Here is a 27,113-nt window from a genome sequence, read left to right as displayed (position 1 = left end):
CTCTGCACAGTGAAAAGGCCATAAGGGAAGTTCTTAAGCAGAAGTTGGTGACTTTGCCATTTTTTCCCCCCACCTTCATCTAGATTGGTGTGTCATACTTTAAGTTTATCCTTTCCTCTTTCTTCTCCAATCAAACCTTAGAAGAAAACAAATTGATAATTAATTCTCACTGAGGCATGGATGGCTGCTAAGAGTATATTTTAATCCTCTTAAGTGTTTATTTGCTTTATTTTGTTGTTGCTTTTTCAAGGAATATTTTATCATTTAAAAAGATGAATTTTAATGACAATATTTCAAATAGTGGATCAGAAAGATGGGAGACATAATTTGGGGCTGGTGTCCTTCTGATTATTATACCTAAAGATGAGGCTGACCCTTTTACATGTCGAATGTGTAAAGTATGTAAACCTCAACTTTGAGGCAATGAAACTCTAGGTAACAACATTATCCATTATAGGGATGAGACAAAATAACAGAGAGAAGTGTTTTATGTTAACAAATAATTTATACAGCAGAAATTATCAGCCTTTTAAAATTTTTTCTCTTTTTTCTTTTTTTAATTTTATTTATTTATTTATTTGTTTATTACACTTTAAGTTCTGGGATACATGTGCAGAATGTGCAGGTTTGTTACATAGGTATACACGTGCCACTGTGGTTTGCTGCACCCATCAACCTGTCATCTACGTTAGGTATTTCTCCAAATGCTGTCGCTCCCCTAGCCCCCCACCCCTTGACAGGCCTTGGTGTTGATGTTCCCCTCCTTGTGTCCATGTGTTCTTGTTGTTCAATTTCCACTTACGAGTGAGAACATGCGGTGTTTGGTTTTCTGTTCCTGTGTTAGTTTGCTGAGAATGATGGTTTCCAGCTTCATCCACGTTCATGCAAAGGACATGAACTCATCCTTTTTTATAGCCTGTTTTTTTTTTTTCTCCAGACATTTAACAAGCACTTCCCACTCACCAAAGGAGTCTATGGGCAAAGTGTTCCCTGGAGTTTGCTTCCACAACCCACTATTTAAGTGATGATTTTTTTAAATAGTAGCTTTATCTTTTTCAAAAAAACAAAACAAAAACTGGATTTATATTCACCTGAAAACTAAATAGTGAGTAGCCCTCAAATATTTTCAAGTCTGTAATTCCATTAGTTTGCCATTACTGTAATCTGTCACGACTCAGGGATCCTGGCAGCTAAGCAGAGCCCAAGCTGATGTGTGTGTCTATGGCATTGTCTCTTGCACAGAAACACCAATCTGGCTTTCTTACTGGACTGTGATACCTTACAGACTTCTAGGACTCAAAGAAAAAGATTGCCAAAATGTATTTCACTCAGCTAAATAAACTATTAGTGCACATTTAGTTTTAGAATTCAATGGGTTCTCTTTCACAGAAAATCAGGTAACTGGCCTAATGTTGTCAACAGACTCTCTGCATAAACAAAACATTTAAAAAATACTTACCGCCACTGGCATATTTGAAAGTGCTCCGTATTCTTTGGGATGGGTGATAGATATTGTATAAGTTGCCTTTTTGTTGGGCTCATCAAAACAAGGAAAAGATTTCCTGGCATCTGTTGGTTCATGATCGGTGGCCACTATGCTCCTTAGAAACAAACAAACAAACAAACGAAATGCATGCTGCCTCTTCTGACAACCCCTATGTCTCTATTCCTAGGGGAAAAAAAAATCAGCTATGCAATTATAACTATTACATTTCTAAAAATGAGGTTCCATCTAGAAGACTATCAAATATTTGTCAAAGGTTTTCCTGGAATTTTTAGCTTAACAAATTTTTAAAAAATTCTGAGTCAGATTGCTTCAGATATTTCATTCACATATTTATTTGTCAAAAACCACAGTTACTTTTGCATCAACCTAACAGCTATTTTGGTGCCATAACTAAAACTCTGTGGAGGAGCAAAAATAAATCCAATTATGAGCTAGTACTCTCTCCACCCCAAGCCCATTGAGCAACAAGTAGATAAACACAAAGCCAAACTTAAAAGCTTGTGTCTAACTGCCCTTATGGGAAGTGAACAGCTGTCTTCTGTCACAGAGTGGAGGTTATTCCAGAGTCCCCAGTCCCTGTCCCTAATGGCACATTCTTTGTTATTTATGTTACAACAGGGACAAAACCCCCAGTTTCATTTTCATGTAAAGGCAGTGCTGAGTAATCTCCTAGGTGAAGTAACCTTTGTCCTAGTTTAAAGCTCACTCTTAAAAAGAGAGAGCAGCATTTTTTTTTATGGCTCTAACTAGGCATATGCTGGTGTAAACTAAAATGTTAATGTTTAGTATTTTCATAATTTCAAGGTGAAAATATTATTTTCTGAGTAATTGCTCAAAAAAATCAATAGCATACACTTTTTACATGTAAACATATTACAGTAAAAGAATATTGTATATTGGCTTATTAGAAAATGAAGCAAAGTAAAAAGTATAAAAGTAAAGAAATGGTAATTTCCATTCATTAATAATTTGTACAAACAAAAATTTTGTCCTTCAGGATTCTGGAAACTAAGAAAGACATATCATAAAGAATATCAGGCTAAATTATTATATCATCCATTCATCCAAGAAACATTAATTGAGTCCCTTCCACACACACACACGTGCGCACACAAGCACCTATGCATGCATGCACACATTTGCAGACATTTTTCTAGCTGCTGTATGAAACCGCCTTTGCAAAATTATAACAGAGGAAATTATGACAGTGAAAAAAGTCAGACCTAACTGACTCCATCTTGCTTTTAACCTTTAAGCTGCACTTGTTCATTCCTGAGCATAGGCCGAACTAATTTTGGGAAGGAATTCAGTTTATGGTTTGACTCTGAAACAAAATTGATAATAGCACTTTCCTGAAAAGACCTCCTTCTTCCCTGGGGACCAGTCTGCCTTTGCAGGACTAACAAATTAGCTACAAGATTAGAAATTACAGTTTAGGGGTCATGCAGCCTCTGGCTGCAAGAGTCTCAACCTCCACAAATTCCTCATGGGGGATAACATTACTACTGTAAAACCTAAGATTAATGCTTGAGATATTTTGCAGACTCCGTACTTGATGGATCAGCTGACACCACCCAGACCAGTATCTGGCTCAACCAGTTCTGCCATCCCACCCAGGAACAGAAAACAGCAAGAAAAACTCACTTCGACCCTCTATGACTCCATCTCCAACTTGACCAATCAGCACTCCCCACTTCCCAAGCCCCTACCCGCCAAATTATCTTAAAAACTCTGATCCCCAAATGTTCGGGGAGACAAAGTTGAGTAATAATAAAATTCCAGTCTCCTGCACAGCCGGATCTGTGTGAATTACTCTTTCTCCATTTCAATTCCCCCCATCTTGATAAATCGGCTCTGTCTAGGCAGCGGGCAAGGTGAACCCACTGGGCAGTTACATGTATAGATAAGATTCCAGACTGCTTACAGAGTGTTAGACAAGAGACACACAAATAAATAAATAACTTAGGAGAGTGATGACAGCTACATAGAAAATAAAACACTGGAAGAGACAGAGAATGACTAGGAAAAGTGGTAAACAACATTAGGTAGAGTGGTCACAATCTCTTGGTTTGCCGAGATCTGAATAATGAGAAAAAGCCAGGCAAGTGGAGGTTCAGGGAAACATGTTCAAGTAGAAGGAACCGTAAGTGCAAAGTCCCTAAGATGAAAAAGAACCTGCTGTGGTTGAAGAATTGAAAGGTGTCCAGTGTGGCTAAAGAACACTGAACCAGACGGACTGGAGCCAGAGATAAGTTTGACATGAGGTCAGCAGAGGCCAGATCAGGAAAATATCAGAGATCATGAGAAGAGCGTGCATTTTATTTTGATTCAAGGACTTACTACAGCCAAGGATTTGACTGCCTTTGGCAAATTATGGGAGTATTGGAACATCACAATAAACAACGGGATAATAACTCATTGAACAAATTAACAATCTCTGAGTCCTTACTCTGATTTTTTAAAATGAATAAATAAATGGGTGAGAAGGGAAAGTTATTCCTTCCAGTAGATTGCCTACTAATAATATTTGAAGGAAAAAATTATTTTAAAAAATCATCAGTGGATGCCAAATCCAGGGGGTGAAAGTTTGGTGAGGAAGGGATATTTGCAAGGTTTCAAAAACTCCCTGAAAGTTACCTAAAGAGAAACCTTGTAACTTTACAATGGAGACGCTTGGTGGACACTACCTTAAGCAAGCTATCAAAGGAAGCATCAGTAATAATAGTTCAAACCAGCACAATGTGTCTCTAATGTGATTTCCTGAGAGAGACACATCACTTCTGTGATAGTCCTGACAGAAAAAAAAAAACAAAAAACTTAACTTGCATTTTTAAATCATGAGGAAAATCAGACAAACTACAACTGAGGGACATTCTCAAAATAGCCAGCCTGTATTCTTCAAAAATATTAACTTTAGAAAGACAAAGAAGGACTAAGGGACTGGTTTCAGTTTAAAGGAGTCTAAAAGGGCATGACACTAAGTGCAATGCAGCATTCCAGACTGGGTACTGCACTGGGGGAAAAAACATTCAAAAAGACATCATTAGGTTAGTTGATAAAATTCTATTACAGACTGTGAATTAGATAGTTGTATTAATGTTAAATTTCTTGATTTTGATGACTGTACTATGTTTATTTTAGAGAATGCCCCCGTGCTTAAGAAATATGCTCTGATGTTAAGGGGTAAAGGGAGAGGATGTTTCCATGTGCTCTGGAAAGGAAGGGGAAGGGGTACAGGCTAAAACGTAAACAATTGGTGAATCTAGGTTAAGTATTTCTAGGAATTCCTAGTACCGTTCTTATAACTTTCCTATGAGTCTGAAATTATGTCACAATAAAGTTACCCAAGAAAAGCCTCAGTTAAGAATTCATTCTGCAATAGAACAATCATTGATTAGTTTTGTGACATTAACAGTTTAGTCAATTGAAGTTTCTAAACATCTTGCAGATTGTAGTTAATTGCAAGTATATCAGACTCTAAAAAAGCCTGTACACTTTCCCAGAGTTTGAAAGTTTTATAAGATCCACCAAGCTCCAACCCCATGTTTAGTCAGCTGCCTTTTCCTTCTGAATTCTTCTGACTTCTGATGTCTTCCAGAGGCAGGGGAAAAGGAAAAGTCACTCCTTGCAAGAATGTCTCCTCTGAGTCACACCTCAGAAATAGGCCAGCTAACTAATTTGAGAAGATGAGTGTGTGTGAGTGTGCGTGCGTGCATGCGCGCACCACACACATCTTCGTGTGTGGGAGGTGAGAGGAAGGAGGAAGTGGAATTACACTTTCCTAAGCTATAGCCATGGGGTATGTTTTCAAATACTCTATTTTACTCTTGGCTGGATGCCAGAATATGAATATATATATATATAATATAATATATATATAAAATATAATATAATATATATAATATATATTCCTAAGATCCCAGGAAAGAAAATAATTTTCAATCCTTTTCTCACCTTCTCTCTTTAAAAGACATTCTGCTTGATTGTAGGCAAAAACTACCTTCCTAAACTAGCGTATTCCTGAGCTTGCCAACGGACATGGAACAGAACAGTGTGGGAGATTTCTCTGTGCGGTGTGTTTGGCCCAGCTCAGTGGTCCTCTCAGCAAATGTCAGTCACAGCAAGTCTAACTCAATCACAGTGACCCAGATATAGATACAGTGACATTCATCAACCCGAAGAGCTATATAATGTTTATTTTCTTTTTCTTTTTTAAAGTTCAGAGCCAATATGATTTTATGGGGAAAACCCTTTTCTAAGAGCAAACATTCTTACATTCTAATCCACTTCAGCTACTAAAGTGTGATCTTGACCAAGTCACAAAACCCCAGACTTTTAGTGTCCTCATCTGTAAAACCTGGTCACCAGAGCATGTATAGCCTCCTCACAGCGTTATGGGGAAGTGAGAAGGCGTAGATTACATGTAGTAATACATTTGAAACTCCCTTAAAATTTACATAATGTGGTTAGGATATACCTCATTCTACATCTTATAAATCTAGAATGCTAGTGCTTTCTGACATAGCACTTTCACAATCTGAAATATTTCAAATCCTTTCATTTGACTGCAATATATACTGGAACAAAATTACTTGGTGTATATACACTATAGGCAATGTAAGCATTTTTAAAATGGTAACCTGTTCTTTTTCTCATGAACTTCAGAATAACTCAAAAGCTCCTTTTTATATATCCTAAATTCCATCAGTTGGCCCTAAACTTTTCTAAGTGTGTGCAAAGTTGAAAACAAGGAATAAGAGATAACAATACAAAACAATTCTAGATCACAACTTCTTTGGGAAGATTTTATTCAGTGATTAAAATCAGATGACTTGTCTTGCAAATTAAGAGAAAAAGGCTGACTAATAGCACAATATGTTCAGGAGTGACTTGTGGGTACGTCCTGAATAATTATCGCGCCAGGCAAATGTGTTGGAGTAAACCACCTTCCCACAAGGGCCTCCCTATGCCACATTAATAAGTCACTTACTAGACCTAGCACAATAAAATGATAGTCTATGCAATTTAGTCGTTTCCAAAAGGGAAGAGCATTTCTCTGGCATCTCTGAGTGGATCAGATCAAGGTGACTTTAAGAAAACTGAGGGAGAAGGGGCGATGGCACAAGTTATGGCTTGGATCACTCTGAATTGACTCTAAAAAAAAAACCAAAAAAGGTACCTAATTATCTCATAAATCATCTGGCATGCTGTTTCCAGTGAAGACTCTCTGGCTGTGCTGAGCAATTTTATAAGTTGAACCAGCAAAATAAACAGCAAGTTTTGGGTGAAATCCTTAAACACAGAGCTTCTGATTCGGGACAGGTAGTCACAATTGCTAGGGGTCTATATAGACTAAATAAAGGGTTCCAGAATTACATAGAGGAGCAGCTTGGTGAAAAACAACCCCTCTAGATTGTTCAGACCTCTATGTATTTTTATGGTGGTTTGAATGAACCAGTTAGTTATTTAACTTTATTTTCCAATTTTTTTTTTCTATGTAGAAGATATTCAAGGTCAAGTAAAATTTCTTTTTGTTTTCTTGCTTCCAAAATAAAAGAAATTTACTTAGCCTCCTGCAACAAGTAAACAAGACCAAAAAGAAAATGTATTCTTTTTTTGTTTGTTTGAGATGGAGTCTCACTCTGTCACCCAGGCTAGAGTGCAGTGGCGCGATCTTGACTCACTACAACCTCCGCCTCCTGGGTTCAAGCAATTCTCCTGCCTCAGCCTCCAGAGTAGCTGGGATTACAGGCATGTGCCACTACCCCCGGCTAATTTTTGTATTTTTAGTAGAGGCGGGGTTTCACCATGTTAGCCAGGCTGCTCTCGAACTCCTGACCTCAGGTGATCCGCCCACCTCAGCCTTCCAAAATGCTGGGATTACAGGCATGAGCCACCTCGCCCAACCTAAAATCTATTCTTTATTGACATTTTTATTGACAATGGGATAATAGCTCAGCATACTAATCTAAGAATATAATGAACAAACTGACATACGACAAAAATTTCAAGATCAAAACTACATGTGCTTGAGTATACATACACATCCATGCAGGTAAGAATACATTACACACACACACTTAATGATGATTATCTCACCGATGTTTCCACTCAACTCCTAAATCTTTATTACAAGCTCTAACCTTGTGCTTCAGACATACTTATGCAAGTGCCTACTAGTCATCTCTTCCTAGATGTCTGACAAGCCATCAACACATCTGACACTGAACTTACGACCTTCCCTTCTAACCTGGCTACTTCCCACCTATTTCCAATATCAATTGAGGTGAAGGCTAGCTGGGGTATCCTAGACCCATAACTTTAACTCACCCTTCCTCATAGTCAAGCAATCGTCAAATCTTGACTACTTTACCTCCAAACTATTTTCTCTACTGTGCCCTCTCTTCTCTATCCTGAAATCACGTTTCCTATCTGATCCTTATCTTCTCTTTCCTGGATTGCTGCAATATCTTTCATATATCCAAGTGGATGGTTGAGTTAACTCTTTCTTTTGCCATCTGTATCCAAAAAGTCATGGGGTAATTTCTCCTTCATAATGCCTATCATGGCTATTTTTCCTTTTCCTCCGTAAGGGTTTTCCTCAGTGATATCTAGCTAGCCTGTTCATATAAACTTCCCCTACAAACTAATTTTCTTGTCCCCACTCTGCTTTTCTGACTTGGTGCCTTTCCTTTTTGCCTGCTTTTAGTTTCTCACTTGTCTCTGCTGCTGAACTCCCACCAGAACATCAAAATTCAGCTTAAATCCTACTAGCGCTACGAAGAACACCTTGGCAGCCCAAACTAGAAATGATCTCTAAAATTCCGGTTGTACTTCCTGTCAATTCCACTGTTTCTCTGCCTTTAAACTACGGAGATTGCATTCCTAAGTACAAATATATATACATACACATATAAACTCTTCCCTTCCACAGGGTAGGCAGAAAAGGAACCAAGGGAAAATTTTCACCCTAAGTGGGAATGTAGAGATGTTATTGGTGGAAGTTAGGCTCGTTTATGGGAGAGAAGCTGTGGTAATGCAATGTGTCCCAGCATTTGCCAGAGGATACTAGTCATGTGAGAGCTTATATGATAATATTTTCATTTATTCCATTTGAGAATATTTGAGTGCTCACTGTGTGCCAAACAGTAAAGGAAAGACATATATCCCTACTCTTAGGAACCCCACAGAAGAATCCATAGTCACAGAGAGTTGGGAAACTACATAGAGGACATTATCATATAAAAGCCTCTGAAAACCCTGTAATCCCAGCTACTCGGAAAGCTGAGGTGGGAGGATCACTTGAACTCATGAACTCATGAGTTCAAGCCAGGAGTTCTACCCCAGCCTGGATCTCATCTCTTTAAAAAAAAAAAAGTCTCTGAAAAGTTCCATAATTAAAAACAAAATCCAAAACAGATCATTTTGTATTTAGTATTATTGCACAAACTGATTTAGCCACAGAATCTCTCCCCTGCTATTTTTCTGGTAATATCTACTAAGATCCCCATGCAACTAGAATTCTGCAGTACATACTTTGGGAAGTGCTAAGTAAGCATAATCCAAATGCTGACAAGGAAAAGCCAAATCTTGGAGAGAAGAAAATATATACTTTGGAGTTTGAGTAGAGGGAAACTCTTTTAGGGAAGGGAACAGCTGGAAATCCTACGTAACACGGTGAGAAAATGGGAAGAAGGAGGGTGTGGTCAGAGAAACATTCCAAAGGTTCCAATCCTTCCAAGTGGTTTTCCTCAGACCCTGAAGAATAGACTAGCGAGTAGGAAGAGGTAGATCGATAAAGGAAAAGCGACTGGATGTTTCTCAAACTTTCTCCTTCCACGCCCCACTACAACTCTGTCCCCAGAAAGACAATGTGGAATTCTAAATTTTGTCCCCTTTCTTCCCCATGTCTCAATCTTGAGAGAAAGCAACTTGGGTAGCTGTGAAGTTTGTGAAGCTCAAAGTCCTGATTGTATTTGCAGAAATTAAGTAATTTTGGTTACTACTGAGTGCAATCCTGTTTAGTTTGCATTGTGGTTGTCACATTAATATCCCTAACTACTAATACTCAATCCTGGAGTTACATTTTACGTTAAGGTCAGAAAATATAATTTTGACTCCGTACTTCAAATGTATTACTATGATGACGTTTAAAATGATACAAACGTCACATATGACGAAGCTCACTCTATAGTATGAAAGAAAGGCACTGCCCCCAGTGAACTCCCTCTGGTGGCCCTTATATGGAGCCTGTGGATGAGAACTCCTAGAGGCTGCATTGCCAAAATATTACTCACAGGCTAGAAAAAAAAGCATGATGCACTTTTCTCATATGCTTGAAATATTTCAGACAAGGATAACAAAAAGTATTCCATTTAGCCTAAATGAGGTTATTGAGCTGACGCCAGATCTGTTCCAAAACCATGTGTGTGCAGTACAGAACTGGCAGCATCTTTTGTAATGTGAGAGCTTCAACTGCTCCCAATGAAACATACAAACTTGGGAACACCAATCCTCAGTGAGAACTGAACTGAGCATCAGCCTTCCTCACCGATGTTGCCATCATTTCGTAATCTCCAATCAAAAGTTAAGTCAACTGAGCTTCAGAAGGGCAGCTCTCTGGTATATATTTTATGGCAAAATTAACTGGTACACTAAAATAACTCAAAGAGTGAGAGTATTTGTGTATATAATGCTTTTTTTAGACTTATAAAGTACATAATAGAAACTTATTAATGGAGACTACATAGTTCCAATTTTTGGCCTTCCTAATATGTGTAAAATTTTATTTTATTATTTTATAAATATTTTGATGGTTTTATTCAGATAAAATTTCTCTTGTCTTTATGATCTAAGAAGCAGTTTTAAAGTTTTAGCAATAATATTTAAAAAGTCTTGACTCGCTTTCACTTCAATGAATTTTTAGAATCTCTTTAAGGTGGATATTCTTCAGAATATTGCCCTTCCCTCGACCATTGGCAAACACTTTTAAAAAATCATTGTATTGTTAGTAAGGCTCAGAGGAATAGTCGCTTTCATACATTGTTGGTGGAAATGGAGTTTGGGACATATTTTTTGGAAGTCAGTTTGGAGACACACACACATGCATACACATGTTCATGCATATATATGTATATGCATGTACACATATATACACAGACATACATGCATTTATACACAGGTAGTTTTGGCCCATCTTCTAGGAATTTTCTTAAATATTAGAAAATGTCCATAAATAGTTATTTACAAGGATAGTCAATATAAGGATGCGCCTTCTTCTAGATCCTTATAGGTGAAAAAATAGGAGCAACTTAAATACTCATATTTAATGGAAAAGTGAATCAACTACATTGTAGTCATACAATGGCCTACCATGTATCCATCGAATCATTTGTGGAAGAACATCAAATGACATCTTAAAGCATTGATGCTATATTGGAAAAGCATGTTACACATTACTATGTATAATATAATTATGCCACAGCTATCTATGTCCAGAAAAGTACTAAAAGAGTCTCTGCCTAAATGTTAACAATGGCTATACTTGGGTAAAGAATTTATGGATGAATTTATGTTTTCCTATAATTTTCTCTGTTTTCTGAGTTTCCTTCAATAAACGTGTATTATTTATGTTATCAATAAACAAAGTAACTATTACAATATCTTGGTATATTTGTACACTTTGACCCAGCAATTCTATTTTTAGGACTATATCCTAACCTAAGGAAATAAACAGATGCACATACAAAGAGGTATTTAGAAGTATGTTATTTGATGATTTGTTTATAATAATAAAATACTAGAAACAACTCAAATGCTCAACAATATAATTTGTTTTAAAAAATTACAATGTATTCAAACAATGGAATATTTCACATCTTTAAAATCAGATTCTTGGCTGTGTGCAGTGGCTCATGCCTATAATCCCAGCACTTTGGGAAGTGGTGGCAGGAGGATTGCTTGAGTCCAGGAGTTCAAGACCAGCCTGGGCAACATAGCAAGACCCTGTCTCAATAAAGAACAAAAAACAGATTCTTGAAAACATGTAAGAATAAGGGGAACTTCTCAAGACATTAAGTAAAAAAGGCATATAGATAGACAGATATAATGCAATTAAAGGTTTGATTGCCTAGAAAAACATTAGAATATACATTAATATGCTAGCAGGGATTACCACTGGGCAGTGAAATTATTTTACAGATTATTTTGATTATCCTTTTTGATAATTTTTATGCTTTCAATGATGTAATTCTTATGAACAGAAAAAATACGTAAATGGTAAGAGTGTTTTTTTGCTAGCAGTATTAAGATATAAGATCTATATAAGCATGACCCCTACAGATATTTTCTTCAAACTATCACTTCTACTCAATTTATCAGTTTACCACACAGGAATATAGGAATATTTAAATGTTTTGTTTTAGTCCGTGGGTCTGTCTGACAAACAATAGAAAGAATTTTGACCAAAAAATTTGCTTGCTCTGTAAGATGCTTAAAACAACAGAAAAAAAGGGATATTTGTGGGTGGACTGGCCCAAGACTCACATCTCTAAACTGTGACAAGAAGCTTTCTTAATCATTTACCTCTTCAGAATCTAAGCCAGCAAAGGTCAAAGCAGTCCAGACACAACACAAGGTGTAGTGTAGCCTTCCTCCCTGATGCAAGGGCTACATCCACAGTGTGAAGGAAGTTTTTGGAGTTCAATGAGAGAGTTTATGCCTTTAACATAGCTCTGGTAGTAGCCACTGATCAATACAAAGGCTAGACAAATAGGTGGGAAAGTGGAATAAATACCTATCTATCTAGATAGATATTTGTATACAAATATTTGTATGTATTTAACTACTTAATATATCTTTTATGTTGTAAAAGGCTTAGCATTATGTTTGCACATTGTATCATGAGCAACAAGCCTCCAAATTTACCTATGCCACTGATGTGTGGACTCAATGAATATTTCCTGAAAGCCTATGTGTAAAGCATGGTCCTGGCCATCGGAGACAGAAAAAAACACAGTCCTGTCTTCCTTTCCAGATGAAGACACAAAGACAATTCTGTGGATCACATGTGATTTTTCAATGTCTCTCTTCTCCAAAAAAGAGACATTGGACAAAAAAAAAATGGACAAAATAATAACTGAAATTTACTGATGTTTCACGTAAATTTAGTGTAATACCACTTTAAAAGTTCATATATATTGCTGTATATATATTGCTACATAGCCTGGGAATATCACTAGTGAAATTTACCAAAGGCAGTTCTCAAACCTGAGATAATTTATGGAAATCTTCAAGATAGGGTGCAGTATATTATGATTTCTCCTGATGGAATAAAAGACTTACACTGACTTTTGACTCTACGAAGCTCATTCACTACTTTCAAGTTTTATGACAGGGTTTGGAAATACAATAGGGCAACAATTTTGGCTTCCCAGATGGACAGCCAGAATTGAAACCAAGAGCCGATCAATATCAGACCAACAAAATAATTAAAAGCGGAAAGTGAAAAGGAAAGGAAAAGAAATGGAAAGCAGATATGTGAGCTTAAGGGAGGTAAAGCAAAAATTAATATTTACTTGACTTGTCCGTTCTCCGTGTAGGTGGTTCTATAAAATCCCACGAGGGAGCCGTTCAGCCAGCCGGCGAACTCCATGGTCAGGAGATACAGGCCATCTCCACTGCTGGGGGTAAGCTCTTCCTCCGCCTCGACCACCACGTACTCCTGCTTTTTGTACTCGAAACACCTCCGGACTTGCACCTGGTCCCCAGAGGGCCTCTTCAGCTCCGGGAGCCGGGTGATCCTGGTCTCCCGGAGGTGCAGCCACAGGTACCGGGTGGGAGCGCTCAGGTTGATGGAGATGCTCACGGTGCCCGTGTAGGTGTCCTCCTCCAACAGGGGCTTCACGTGCAGGTCGTAGTGGACTGGGTTGACGAAGTCCGGCAGTCGAAAGTTTTTCCACTGTCCGCTCTCATCCTCACTGGCCGGGCAGATGTCCTGGTCCTGGGCAGGAGGACCTGAGGGGCTGGCCGTGGAAGAAGGCAGGTGGGAAGGAGCTGGCGCAGTGCCCGGCCCGCCGTCCCCGCTGGAGTCACACGATCTGGTCAAGCCCACGGCAAGTCCCACTATTAATCCTACACCCACCACCACCGCACAGAGAATGGCCACATGTTTCGTTTGAATGCAGTATCTCTTAGAGCCCTCTCTCTCCGCAAAGTTCATTTTTGCTTCCAAAGTCAAGTGTTACACATAAAAAGATGTTAAATTTAACTAACTAACGTCAGCAGACTTCCTTTTTAAATTGGAAGGAATCCCCTGATTTGGCAGCCTGTTTTCGCTTTTCCCACACCCCTCTCTCTGGCTTCTTGCGCCTTTTCCTCTCCCTTTTCACGTTCCCACCAGCCACTCAGGATGAATGCGGAAACAAGGGGGGTGGAATGAGGACTCCGTAAGAGGAGCCGAGTGGGAGGAAGAGGGCTGGCAAGAAGATTGTCACAGCTCCCCTTATAAACGACGCATCTCCACCCCTACCCCTCCTGCACTGCAGCGAGTTAAATATAAAACAGGGCTTCGCTTATCAGCCAACGGGAGGATGAGCCCTCGCCAAAGCTCCGTCAGCAGCTTTCAGGGAGCAAGCGTTTGGGTGAGGTGTGCTTACGATAGAAAATCTCAACCTTTGCCACTCAGCCTGGGGCTTCTTCCTGTTGTGTTCGCAATCTCTCCCTCCTAACTAAAGGGCTTCTTGAATTTCAGCTATTTTATCAGATAGCTTGCTAAAGAAGCTAAGTGTTTTCTTTTATTTTTTTTCCCTCATATTATGTAAACATTCCAATTCTGTCCTTTGAAGAAGTCATATCCTGGAATTGGGTGCTCAGGGTGATTCAAGGACCACCTAGGTACTCAGTAAATATTTGTCGAATTAGATTTGGAAAGCATAGCCAGGTAAACCTAAATCAGTTCAGCTGGTGCTGGGTGAATGAGAGAGGGGGAACCCAAAGAAATTAGCCAAAGCAGTAGTGGAGCTGGAAAGCTTAAGAAGAGAGAGGGAACAAGAGGGGGAGAAGTCTGAAAGGACAGAGGGACAAGGAAGAAGGCCTACTTGTCTCTGCAGTGTGCCTCCAAGTGAGATTGACTTCCTTAGACTTTGATGTGGTAGAGCACGTTTAAAGTAGATTCCAGATGTGAAAATTGACCTGTTGGGAAATCCATCATCCATGCAAATCTATCATTTTGTTTCTGAATGACAAGCTCAGGAAGAAAAATCTCAATGAACTTCATATTTACTGGCAGCTTAGCTATGGACTGACATTTAGAGAGGTTAAGCTATTGCTCAAGGTCACACACCTGGCAAATAGCAGAACTGGGGTTTGAACCCACGTTGTCTGAGTCTAAAGTCCATATATCTGGCCAGGTGTGGTGGCTCACGCCTGTAATCTCAACACTTTGGGAGGCTGAGGCAGGTGGATCACCTGCGGTCGGGAGTTTGAGACCAGCCTGGCCAACGTGGTGAAACCCTGTCTCTCCTAAAGATACAAAAATTAGCCAGGCGTGGTGGAACACATCTGTAATCCCAGCTACTCAGGAGGCTGAGGCAGGAGAATTGCTTGAAGCTGGGAGGCGGAGGTTGCAGTGAGCAGAGACCGTGCCATTGTACTCCAGCCTGTGTGACAGAGCAAGACTCCATCTCAAAATAAATAAATAAATAAATAAAATTAAAAAAATTAAAGTCCATATATCAACGATCGCATTCTACTGCTTGCTTCCATGCTCTGAGGAGGATAAATATTCAAGGGTTAAGTAACTATGAAAAACTTGGTATTTCCCCAGATACAATCCATGGATATTAACAGATCTACTTGCCAAGCAAACAATGCTGGGTTAAAGTGAAAAATCTTCTTTTACTACTCTCCATTCTTGCAGAGCCTCCAGATGGTGACACACATTGTGAGCCTCTCAGAGAGGAAACACGACGGAGTACTTTCCCCATTTAGTTGACAAGACAGCTTTTTCTGGTGAGGTACCTTTTGAGGGCCCTCTGTTCCACAGAGCACACTCTGAGAAACGTTGTTTCAAACGGTTCTAAATTACAAACTAAACAAACAAACAAAAAACAAAACTTTAAAAGCAAACGGGTCCATTTTACTCTGTAACATTTCTGCTGTTTTTCTCACAAAATAGTAGTAACAGAAAAAGAATTAAAGGAAAAAGGGATATGTTTTTCTAAATTGTAGGCCCATCTTGTATTGATTAATTTTACATTCTGAAGCAACCCTAAACTTCTTGAGATCACAGTATGTTTAAGTTTGGCACATTAACTTCCTGAATTTTAGCCCTTGAAACCCTCTTTTTATTGAAAAGATCATCTGACATTTCAATAAATGTTTGATGGGTCAAATATTTTGATATGTTTCTTAGGAATGAAAGGCAAAAATGTGGCTCAAATTTACCTAAACATAGTGAAAGGAAAAGCAAAAAGTATTTGGAAGAATGTACATAAAATTATGTTAAACTGGAAGTATTTTTTAAAATCTCAGATGTGGCAAACATTTGAAATCTCTTAAACTTGACCTTGTGGCAAACATATATGAAATCTCTTAAACTTGCCCTTATTTACAAAGACAACAATCTTATCACCAGGTCTTATGTACAGAGAAGATAATAGACCTTTGGGTTGGGTACACTTAAGGAAGATTAAGAATGGCCACCTGCTATGAAAAAGCTCTACTACTCTGCCTGAAATTCTACCATAATGAATATACTATTTAAATGCATTTTTTTTTGCCAGAAGAAATAAAATACCCTAAGTCCACATATGGGGTGTGTGTGTGTGTAGGTTTTGAGTCCACAGCCCAGTTCTAGCCACAGTATCTTATTAGTACCAACCTGTGTGAGCTGACTGCATCCAATGAAGGGCACCACATCTTGTGAGGATCAGCATATTAGGGTGACCTAATACAGCCAGATGAGCAGAGGTAGAAGGGCCAGCATGTGCACCATCACAGGCACCCTCCTAGATTAAATAGACCATATTGGGTAATCTTACGTTGAATGAATCTACATTGGATATAAATAATTTCAAACGACTACTGCTGGTCAATTTCCACTTATCAGGTCCAAGCCAGTGGAGTGAAAGAACAACAGTTTACTGTAGGTTCTATATGACAATCTCCATCCCTTTTGATACATACATTATCGTGATCTACTTTGAGTACTAAAATTCCAGTATCTGCTCCTGTTCCTTATTTAACATTCAATAGATATCTGTTCCCTATTCAATACTCAATAAATGTTTATTGATTGCTTAGTGAATAACAAATGAACAAATAAATGAACAAGGAGAGGAAGGAAAAACAATAATCCAGAATGGGAGGGGTTAACAGACATACTGTGCCAGGAATGTTGAGAGAAACTCTGTTCGAATTCCAGAAAAGACTAGAAAGACATTCCCTGGGGTGAAGACCTGGAAATCACATCTGATCTTGAGTAGGTGAGGAAATTCTTGGCAAATTCCTTCCCATAGGCGGTAGACTGATGCAAGAGACTCACTGTAACATCAAAGGCCAAGTATGCACCTCTCTTTTTCACTTACAGCTTCCATTTAAAGCTTTTCTATTAGGTACCAGGAATTACACATCCTACAGAGCTATTGGGCCTTCTGTGTATACACGGTGCTGTCTTAGTCTGTTTTTTGTTGCTATAACATATACCTGAGGCTGGGTAATTTATAGAGAAAAGAGGATTACTTAGCTCACATTTCTGTAGGCTAGGAAGCACAAGAAGCATGGCACCAGCACCTGCTTGGCTTCTGGCGAGGGCTTTCACACCATTACAACGTTAGGGAAGGTCAAAAGGGAAGCAGACACGTGTAAAGTTGCAAAACCCAAGGTGCATCCTGGCTCTATGACAGCGCAGTCTCACGGGAGCTAATTCATTCCCACAAGAACTAATTCAGTCTTGCCAGAGCAAGAATTCATTTACTGTTGTAGAATACAGAAGGGCACCAAGCCACCCATGAGGGTAGAGTTGTCATGACCTAAACACCTCCCATTAGACCCCACCTCACAACACTGCCACTGGGGATCCGATTTCAACATGCGTTTCCGTTGGAACAAACAAGCCATAGCCATACCATAACATGTGCTGCTGGCTCACCTGGGCACTAGGAGCATCTCAGGAAATGTAGTCAGCAATTAACACTACTGTGTGATTATTTGGCTGGCCCTTTAATCAGTGATCTGAGCTGAATGCTATGGTTCAAGGCTGATCACCTGAGGTCAGGAGTTCAAGACTAGCCTGGCCAACACAGTGAAACCCCGACTCTACAAAAATACAAAACTTAGCAGGGCATGATGGCGGGTGCCTGTAATCCCAGCTACTCGGGAGGCTGAGGTGGGAGAATCCTGCTTGAACCCAGGAGTCGGAGGTTGCAGTGAGCCGAGATCATGCCATTGCACTCCAGCCTGGGCGACAGAGCGAGACTCAGTCTCAAAAAAAAAAAAAGTGGCAAGTTAGATTCACAATGGAGGAAATAGAATCTGCAAATTAGGCTGTATACATAGGGAACAAGGAGGGCCCGAACCAGTTTCTTTCCATCTTGCCACAGGGCCACTATTATTAAACTCATAAATTCTATAAACACCCTTGGTCAATTCAGCCATTTCCAAACTTTAAAGGTTTAGTGAGCTGTGAGAGTTGAAAAAGGAGAGAGTCATTGCAACTGACTTGGCTAACCGTGAGGTCTAAAGCCATATTGGCCATGTTCTTTCTGATGCTGGTAAATTCACCTGTATTTCCAATGCCTGTGCCCTATTTGTCATCTTTTATTTGGCGTCAACAACTGTTTTAAAAGGTTCAGTTGGTTTTAAGACTAAGTGAACTAGATTAACTTTTTCCAAGAGCTGAAAACTGATGCAGATGTCAGGAGTAGTTTTAAGACATAAAATGTTCAGCATGCCACATCTAATTTTTATTGGTGGGAAAATGATGAATTTGTCCAATGACTGGCACAATAAAGGGAGAGGGAGGAAAGATGAGGAAAAGGAGAAGAAGAAAGAGACAAGAGGCAAAGGAAAGGGAGAGGAAAAAGGAGGACTTTCAAAATAGATGAGAAGGAAAATAAACCTCCAAAACACACCAAACATAATTTAATAAAAAATAAAAATCAGGCCAGGTGAGGTGGCTCACGCCTGTAATCCCAGCACTTTGGGAGGCCATGGCAGGTGGATCATTTGAGGCCAGGAGTTCAAGACCAGCCTGGCCAACATGGTCAAACCCTGTCTCAATTAAAAGTACAAACATTAGCTGGGCGTGGTGGTGGGCACCTGTAATTCCAGCTACTTAGGAGGCTGAGGCAGGAGAATCGCTTGAACCCAGAGGGTGAGGTTGCAGTGAGCTGAGATCACGTCACTGCACTCCAGCCTGGGCAACAGAGCAAGACTCTGTCTCAAAAAAATAAAAAATAAAAATAAAAATCAGTGAAACAATAAGTTTCTATCTTCTCTATTCCTTGTTGTTTCCAGGCTGATTTGAGAATTCTCTGCAGTTTTCTGGGATACCCAGACTGATGCTCATAATGTCTCTCACCACTAATCCCTGAATGCCAGGAGATGTCATTTCACAAGCAAGAATTATGCTCCTGTTAGCCATTTGGATCACTCTAGAGAGAATCTGTTCACTTCACTTTCTTCCCCTGCCCCCCAACCCCCTGCTGCCAGAAAAGTGTTTCTTAGCCACTATTTATTTATTCATTTATTCATTCATTCAATAACTCAACAAATATTTGTTGACTAAATAAATATTTACTTTCCAACAAATATTTATTAGGTAAGGAATGCTAAGATAAACTTCAAAATGTAAGCCTTAAAAGAAATAATAGTGAATATTCTTAATATTCTTAAAGGCATATATGTAAAGCCCTGCCTTGTTCTCAGCAGGTAGAGATTTTGAAAATATTTGGAAAAGCAAACAAAATAAAACTAAAAAATTTATGATTCCTATAATTTTTAACTGCATTTGTATTGAGTTCCCTAATGTGCAATAATGCATTGGGAGAAAGTGGTTGGATATAAAAACAGCAGGAGAAAAATAATAGTGATAATATAGTCTAGATTTCTGTTGTTCTAAGAATTTTGAAATTATATATATTTTTTCAGTGCACTAAATAATAGTTCTGTATTCTGAAGAGTTTTAAAACTTCCTGAAATGTTTAATTTACTCAACATTTCCTTTCAGCCTTTATGGTATCAGAATTCTTGGCAATATTTTCTTCTCTTCTATCTGCAGAAGTCTGCAAAAATAACGTTGGTATAGGGAAACTATTTCATCCAATATTCTTTTACTCCATAAAGAGTCCAAGTGAATTATACTAGCAATGATTATTTTGGATTATGTTCTCCACAAAAATTCTAATACACCCTTTCTTTACCTTAGGTAATATTAATTATTTATTTCAAAGAAAAGGCCTATAATTTTACAATTTTTATTTATTAGTGCTAGCTGTTTGGTTTGAAAATTTCTTTATTGCCACATTAACTTTAACCAAATAAAGTTGTCTTCAATTTTTGTTTTCCTTGGAAGTAAAGACTTAAACTGCATTAAGATGATCAAAGTCATCCATATGGATAATAGAAACATTATTTCTCCTGTTGCTGTTCTCTTTATTTAGCATCTCTTCTGTTTTCAGTTTATGACTTTTTTAGAATGCTTTTGCCTTAAGCTAAAAAAAAAACATGCCCCCCTCCAAAAGATATCCACTTGATAATCCCTGGAACCTGTGCATGTTACAAAATATAGTTTTTTTTAAAGTGTCTTTGCAGATATGATTAAGTTTAAGATCTTGAGTTGGAAGATTATCCTGTACTATTAGGATAGGTCCTAATATATGATCTCATGTGTCCTTATAAAAGGGAGGCAGAGAGATTTTACACACAGACAGAGGTGATGTAAAGACAGAGCAGAGAGAGATTTGAAGGTGCTATTGAAGGTGCTGGTCTTTAAGATTGGAGTGATGCAGCCACAAGCCAAGGAATGCTGGCAGTCACCAGAAGAGGGAAGCAACAGATTCTCCCCTACAGCTTCTGGATCAAGATGACCCTGCTGTCCTTGATTTTGGCCTAGTGATATTCATTTTGGACTTCTGGCCTCCAAAAATGTGAAAGAATACATTTCTGTTATTTTAAGCCAAGTCTGTAGTAATTTGTTACAGCAGCCACAGAAAAAGAGTACAGCAGATTTTACATATTCACTCAACAAACATTTATTGAAAACCATAATGTCCCAGGCACTTCAAATGTTGGAAAAGCACTAAATAAAAACACAAATGAAAACATAGCCTCAGGACAGAATAGTTGTTTTTCAAGTAGAAAGAGGATCACAATGAGATAGAATATTAGCTTTTTGAATAAGAACACACTCTCTTTTTTCATTCACTTCCGATTTTCTAAAGATATACTTGACAACTTGGTTTTTGTTCTTTGGGAGGTATTTTGCTCAAGGTTTCAAAGATTTTTGTGTGTTTATTTTCCAGTTGTCTTCATGGCATAATATTTGTTTACAGTGTTAATAAATTATTTGTTCAGTTAACAGGCTGTATGTCATTTTGTATAAGCAATATGACTCCCACTGATTTTATTTGAATCTTTCATTAAATTTATATCTGGGGAAATCTTATACCCACCTCTGATTTTGAAGCTTTCATTACAGATGCTTTTTTAAGGTCAATGATATACAAATCCAGGGCAAAATAACACTATTTCTTGGGGGTACAGTAATTTCCTTCCATCTTCTGAATGCTTTGCCTCATTTATTTCTATTGTCCTCAATGATGGCTAGTCTGGTGGACTGTTTGACTTCTGTATTTTAGATAATTTCCTTTGATATCTCGCTTTCCATTCAGCTTTTAAAGGGTTTTCATGTGACTCTTTCATTCTTGGTTTATCATTTGTACCTGGGCTTAAGATATTTATGTGCATGTATTGTAAGGGTCTTAGCTTCACTGTTTAAATCTCTTTACTCTGGATTCAGATATGTCTCCATGTGTGAAATCATCAGCTACAGCCCACCATGGGTTGGAGCATACAAAAACTTTAGATAGTAATACCTTTTGAGAAGGAATTTATTTTGGAGTAGTCAGGAATTCTTCCAGTTCCAAATAACAGAAAACTTAGCTAATTGTGGCTTAATCTATAAAGACATCTAATTATCTCTCATCATAAGAAGTCTGGGGCCGGATGTGGTGGCTCACGCCTGTAATCCCAGCTCTTTCGGAGGCTGAGGCAAGTAGATCACTTGAGCCCTGGAGTTTGAGATCAGCCTGGGCAACAAAATTAGATTCTATCTCTACAGAAAATACAAAAATTAGCTGGGTGTGATGGTGCATGCCTGTAGTCCCAGGTACTCGGGAGGCTGAGGCAGGAGAGTCACTTGAGCCTGGGAGGTCGAGGTTGCAGTGAGCTGTGATTACACCACTGCACTCCAGCCTGGGCAACGGAGTAAGATCTTATCTCAAAAAAAGAGTCTGGAGGTAGAGACTATCAACATGCCTTGGCACTCAATGATGCTATCAAGAAACTAAGCTCTGCCTATCTTTTCATTCCACCATCTCTACTGTGTGGACTCAAGCTGACTGCCACAGCTTCAACTATCACAATATCATTTGAAAGCAAGAAGTGGAGAGAGGGAGGAAGAGTAAAAGATTTTCTCTTAGGTAGTTCTTTCCTTTTATCAGTGAAGAAGATCTTTCCCAGAAGCCCTCAGCAGGCTTCCCCTGATATCGCCTTGTCCAGGCCTGAATCACGAGTTCCTTCTGTAATTTCAACCATATTCTGTTGAGAGGAATGTAATAGAAGCGACTGACTTGAATAACACCAGTTCATCTCCAGAACAGGACACATTGCTGCCACAAAGTCGGAATATTTGTTGGCAAATAAGAAGGGGAAAATGGCTTTTGGGTGGACGATAATACTGCTGCCACAATTCGAGGAGCACAAACATGGCCTGAGTGCAAGATACTCATGGCAGAGTGAAAGACAGGGCTGAGGAGAACAGGAAGTTCTCACTTCCTGTCCTTCACTACCTGCCACCCGTCTCCTCTCCTGCACCTTAACTGGCTGGGTTTTTCTTTTCTTTTTTCTCTCCTATCTCTTCACTTTTTCCTAGAATCATCTTTCACATTGCCATTGCACTATGCAAACATCTTCAGTGAGTCCCACTCACTGATAAGATAGGTTCTTGGTATGGGACTCAAAACCCCACTTCCTTTCTCTCCAAAGGGTTCCTAGCCTCTCAAAATCCCTTTTCAAATTTACCTCCAAGCCAAACTGATCTATTTATGTCTTAAAGTTATAAACTACACATTGTCATCACCGTGCTCCTGCCTGGGTTTCTTTTCCTCTCCCTCTTTTCTAATACATTCTCAGGACCCAACTTACCTCTCTTCCCAAGCAAACCTTCATTGATCCGGACAGACCTCAATGATCAATCCTTCTCTAATCTCCTGTAAATTTTACACTTGATATCATTCACTTGCCAGCTATCTTCAGACCAACCCCAATCTGGCCAATTATGCTGTGTATTAATAAGATGAGTCTAATGTCAAGATAAAGAGTACCAATATATCTGTGGTAGAACACAGTAAAAATTGATTTCTCACTCTGGCCACATCCAAGGTGCATATTCTTTGTTGGAGAACTCTATTGGGAAACATTTTTCCAAGCAGTGACTCAGGGATTTAGCCTCTTTTCATCTTGCGGTGCCTCCCTCTTCATATCGCCTCCAAGGATGCCACAGAAAATAACGTGAGGAGCTTCCACTGGATGACTAGTCACCTCAGCCGAGAAGTCATGCACATTACTTTCACTTATACTCATTGGCCATTCTAATCTATTCTAATCTAATATAAGGAATCATATGACTTCTCTTATTTTTTATTTATTTTTTTTTTTCTGAGAAGGAGTCTCGCTGTGTCACCCAGGCTGGAGTGTAGTGGCAAGATCTCAGTTGACTGCAACCTCCATTTCCCAGGTTCAAGAGATCCTCCCACCTCAGCCTCCTGAGGAGCTGGGATTACAGGCGTGCACCACCACACCCAGATAATTTTTATATTTTTAGTAGAGACGAGTTTTCGTCGTGGTGGCCAGGCTGGTCTCGAACTCCTGACCTCAAGTGATGCACCCACCTTGGCCTCTCAAAGTGCTGGGATTACAGGCAGGAGCCACTGCACCCTGTCCATATGGCTACTCTTAATATCGAGGGGGCTGGTATACATAGGTATCAACAACGCTACCCTTAGAGAGAGAAGCAGGTGTCTTTGGTGATCACCTAGCTGCTCTGTCCCATACTGGCCTCCCCTCATTTTAGGACTTACTTTGTTGGTACAGTGCAATGACTCAGATGGACAGGACATAAGAAGAAAAATGTTTCACTGTTGCTGCTAAAATTTGTACAGAAGCAAAATCTCTTCTCTCTTCACACTTGTAGAAAAACTATTCAGCTACATGCTCACAGTTTATGTTTATTTCTTGTCAAGGCTGTTCTGAGTATTTATTTTAACTGTTTTTTTCCTGAGCAGACTTGGTTTACTGTGAGGGGTCCCATGCTAAGTGATTTGCCCTAGACCCCACACTGCTTCTAGAGATGGCTCAGGTACTGTAACTCCTTATTTTATTTTCCAAAAGATAATTTTATTTGTACTTCAGAATATCATAGAAACAGATGGGAGTTAAGGTAATTATATTTAGGTGGAAGAAAAGAGGAAGGAAACCGAATGAAATAGAACCAACCTTCATGGCACATACTTGGTCCCAGATGTCTTTTATTTGCTGTCTTTTTAGTGCATCCAGCAAAGTTATGAGTTTGTTATTATGAGTCCCAGCTGCCACTTACCATAGGCTGACTCCAAATCTAATAGAAAGAATTTGGTACTGTTTATGGCCTAGTCCAGACCTCCCCATGAATAATTTTGTATTTTAGCTACATTATGGGCTATCCAGACCTTTGCAGGTAGCATTGACAACAAATCACATTTATAATACAGTTTCTAAAGAAAACTGTACTACAAGATCCAACATATATATTTATCTGGGTGTCAAGCCTATCAATACACTGAGAGAATCCCCACCCCAACATGTGCCAATTGAGGTGGACATTGCATTACTTTTTGTCCTCTAGTGTCCTGGGGGTGTCCCTAACTGCTTGGCGTGTTCAGAAAGTAGCCTTGTAATTTAGGTAGTATAAATACTGCCTAGCTTATATGTTAAATGATGACAAATGTTAGAATACGGAAAGAACAACAAAAATAAGGTGGCCAAGTGTGATGCACTAATGTTGTTTAATACAAACTGATTGTAATTCTATTTTTTAAACAAATCGTAGATTTAAGAAGTCATCAAGTCTTCTCAAATTTTAGATGATTTTAATTATGTGATTATTTTAATTGTCTATTTTGCTTTCTCAATGATTTTTTTTTATGTGTTTCAAATATAGCATTATAGATATAAAGTAACTTTACCCACATCCACATCCAGGAAGTTGGCCACATCATTTTCCTGTGGTGATTCTGGCTATGATTCAAGTTCTGAACCATTCCTGTGATTTCCATCATAATACTCGATCCTTCTATTCTGCGTCTTTCTGAAGGATGGCATTGCTCATTTTCCCCAATTGCCTATAAAATAATTTGCATAATGACTATGTGTCATTTAGTATAGAATTATTTGCTTTGTTGCTTTTCTTTAGCATCTGAAACTCGATACTGCTGACTCTAAAACAACTATGTCCATACATGGCAGTAAAATACATGGACATTTGTCTAACAATTTGATTAATTTGACCCATGTAGACATTCACCTTTGATAATCAAAGACAAAATTACATTTGAGGTTCAAGGTAGCTTTTGGCTTATTGGCAGTGATTGGCTAATTGTTCATGAAATATATTTCCCATCTTCCTGGACTCACAGTTGAACAGAATTTCTCAGCCATCTTTACTGTGGAAATGTGACTCTGTTTTGGCTAATAGGATCTGGAGAGAAGTGGTATATTCTCTCCCAGACTTGGTGTATAAAAACCACCTGTGTAATCCTGTGCTCTCTCTTCCTTTGGCTCCAGATGATGTTGCCATCCAGGGAGATCTCAAATGCCGTATATGGAAGGTGGAAGCATCACAAGATGGAAGGACCCTGAGCTTCCAAATGAACACACCCTCCTTTCCAACGCCACACCACCAACTGATCTTTATGTGAGCAATTAACAAAAGCCTGTTGTATTAAGCTGCCAAGAGCTGAAGGAAATACCTGCAAGCATGACTTTAACGAATACCCTTCACCATAGGTATTCTTTTTATTTCATCTCTCAATTGTTATTTTAGGTCAGTGGTTGTCAATCAAGAGTAAGTTTGGGCCAAGCACAGTGGCTCACGCCTGTAATCCCAACACTTTGGGAGGCTGAGGTGGGCGGATCACCTGAGGTCAGGAGTTTGAGACCAGCCTTGCTAACATGGTGAAACCTGTTTCTACTAAAAATATAAAAAATTAGGAGGCCGAGGCAAGTGGATCCCTAGGTCAAGAGTTCAAGACCAGCCTGGCCAACAGAGTAAAACCCCGTATCTACTAAAAATACAAAAGTTAGCCAGACATGGTGGTGTGCACCTGTAGTCCCAGTTACTCAGGAGGCTGAGGCAGGAGAATTGCTTGAACCTAGGCGGCAGAGGTTTCAGTGAGCCGAGATCACGCCATTGCACTCCAGCTTGGGCAACAAGAGCAAAACTCCATCTCAAAACAAACAAACAAAACAAAACAACAAAAAAACGAGTAATTTTGCTATCCTCCCAGAGGACATTTGGCAGTATCTGGAGATTTTTGATTGTCACAACTGAGGAAGAAGGTGGATTGGGGTAGAGGTCCTGGATGCTGCTGAACATCCTACAATGCATGGGACAGCCTCCCTATGCATTGTTTAATCCAAATGTCAGTGGGGCTGAGGTTGAAAAACTGCTTTAGCTATATCTATTCGGCAAAAGTACATATAATTAAATATTTAGTGGCCAGGCGTGGTGGCTGAGGTCTGTAATCCCAACACACTGGGAGGCCAAGGCAGGTGGATCACTTGCGGTCAGCAGTTTGAGACCAGCCTTGCCAACATCGTGAAACCCCATCTTTACTAAAAACACAAAATTTAGTCGGGCGTGATGGCCCACACTTGTAATCCCAGATACTCGGGAGGCTGAGGCATGAGAATCAACTGAACCCAGGAGGCAGAGGTTGCAGTGAGCAGAGATTGTATCACTGCGCTCCAGCCTGGACGACAGAAAGAGACACTGTCTCAAAAATAAATAAATAAATAAATATTTGGTTACCTTTATTATGTACCTTATTTAGTAATCCTCCAATTCTGTTTGCTTAGTTTAGGTTCTTGTTGTGGTGGTGTGATCCCAGTAGCTTTGGTTACCAGTTGTCATTAATGCAAAGTTCAATGATCTCTAAATTTTTCTTTCCATTTCCATAGCCATCCTTGCTTGTCTCCCCTTTCACCACACTATTTTCTACACCACATATTTATTGCTGAATCTCCAGAAATCCTCACAAGACCTGACATAAAGTAGGTATGTAATAAA

The 27,113-nt window shown here is 39.1% G+C and overlaps 1 protein-coding gene across 6 annotated transcripts in view, besides 2 other annotated features; it reads right to left on the bottom strand.

Annotated features, from left to right (window-relative positions):
• ENPEP (glutamyl aminopeptidase) overlaps positions 1 to 13,987 on the bottom strand; it is an 89,131-nt gene extending 75,144 nt beyond the window's left edge. For all 6 annotated transcript variants that reach the window (NR_166842.1, NR_166844.1, NM_001977.4 and 3 more), the window contains exons 1-2: positions 13,084 to 13,987; positions 1,460 to 1,601 (exon numbers count right to left, since the gene is read on the bottom strand). Coding sequence is in view for 4 of the 6 variants with exons in the window: in NM_001977.4 (NP_001968.3) it covers positions 1,460 to 1,601; positions 13,084 to 13,727 (786 nt within the window). In the remaining 2 variants the exon portion in view is untranslated. The remainder of the gene's footprint in view (positions 1 to 1,459; positions 1,602 to 13,083) is intronic.
• Positions 5,692 to 5,741: an enhancer, noted in NCBI's record as "active region_21817". NCBI's record gives its function as "activates an Ori minimal core promoter by ATAC-STARR-seq in GM12878 lymphoblastoid cells {active_cell/tissue: GM12878}" and the evidence as "EXISTENCE:reporter gene assay evidence [ECO:0000049][PMID:35858748]".
• Positions 16,691 to 17,393: an enhancer, noted in NCBI's record as "OCT4-NANOG-H3K27ac hESC enhancer chr4:111393905-111394607 (GRCh37/hg19 assembly coordinates)". NCBI's record gives its function as "activates a minimal SCP1, AML or CMV promoter by ChIP-STARR-seq in naive H9 embryonic stem cells {active_cell/tissue: H9 hESC(naive)}" and the evidence as "EXISTENCE:reporter gene assay evidence [ECO:0000049][PMID:30033119]".

The sequence above is a fragment of the Homo sapiens genome, chromosome 4, assembly GCF_000001405.40.
Source record: "Homo sapiens chromosome 4, GRCh38.p14 Primary Assembly".
Taxonomy (NCBI): domain Eukaryota; kingdom Metazoa; phylum Chordata; class Mammalia; order Primates; family Hominidae; genus Homo; species Homo sapiens.
Note: the sequence above shows the minus strand (reverse complement) of the source record. Positions and strands in the feature narration are given on the sequence as shown.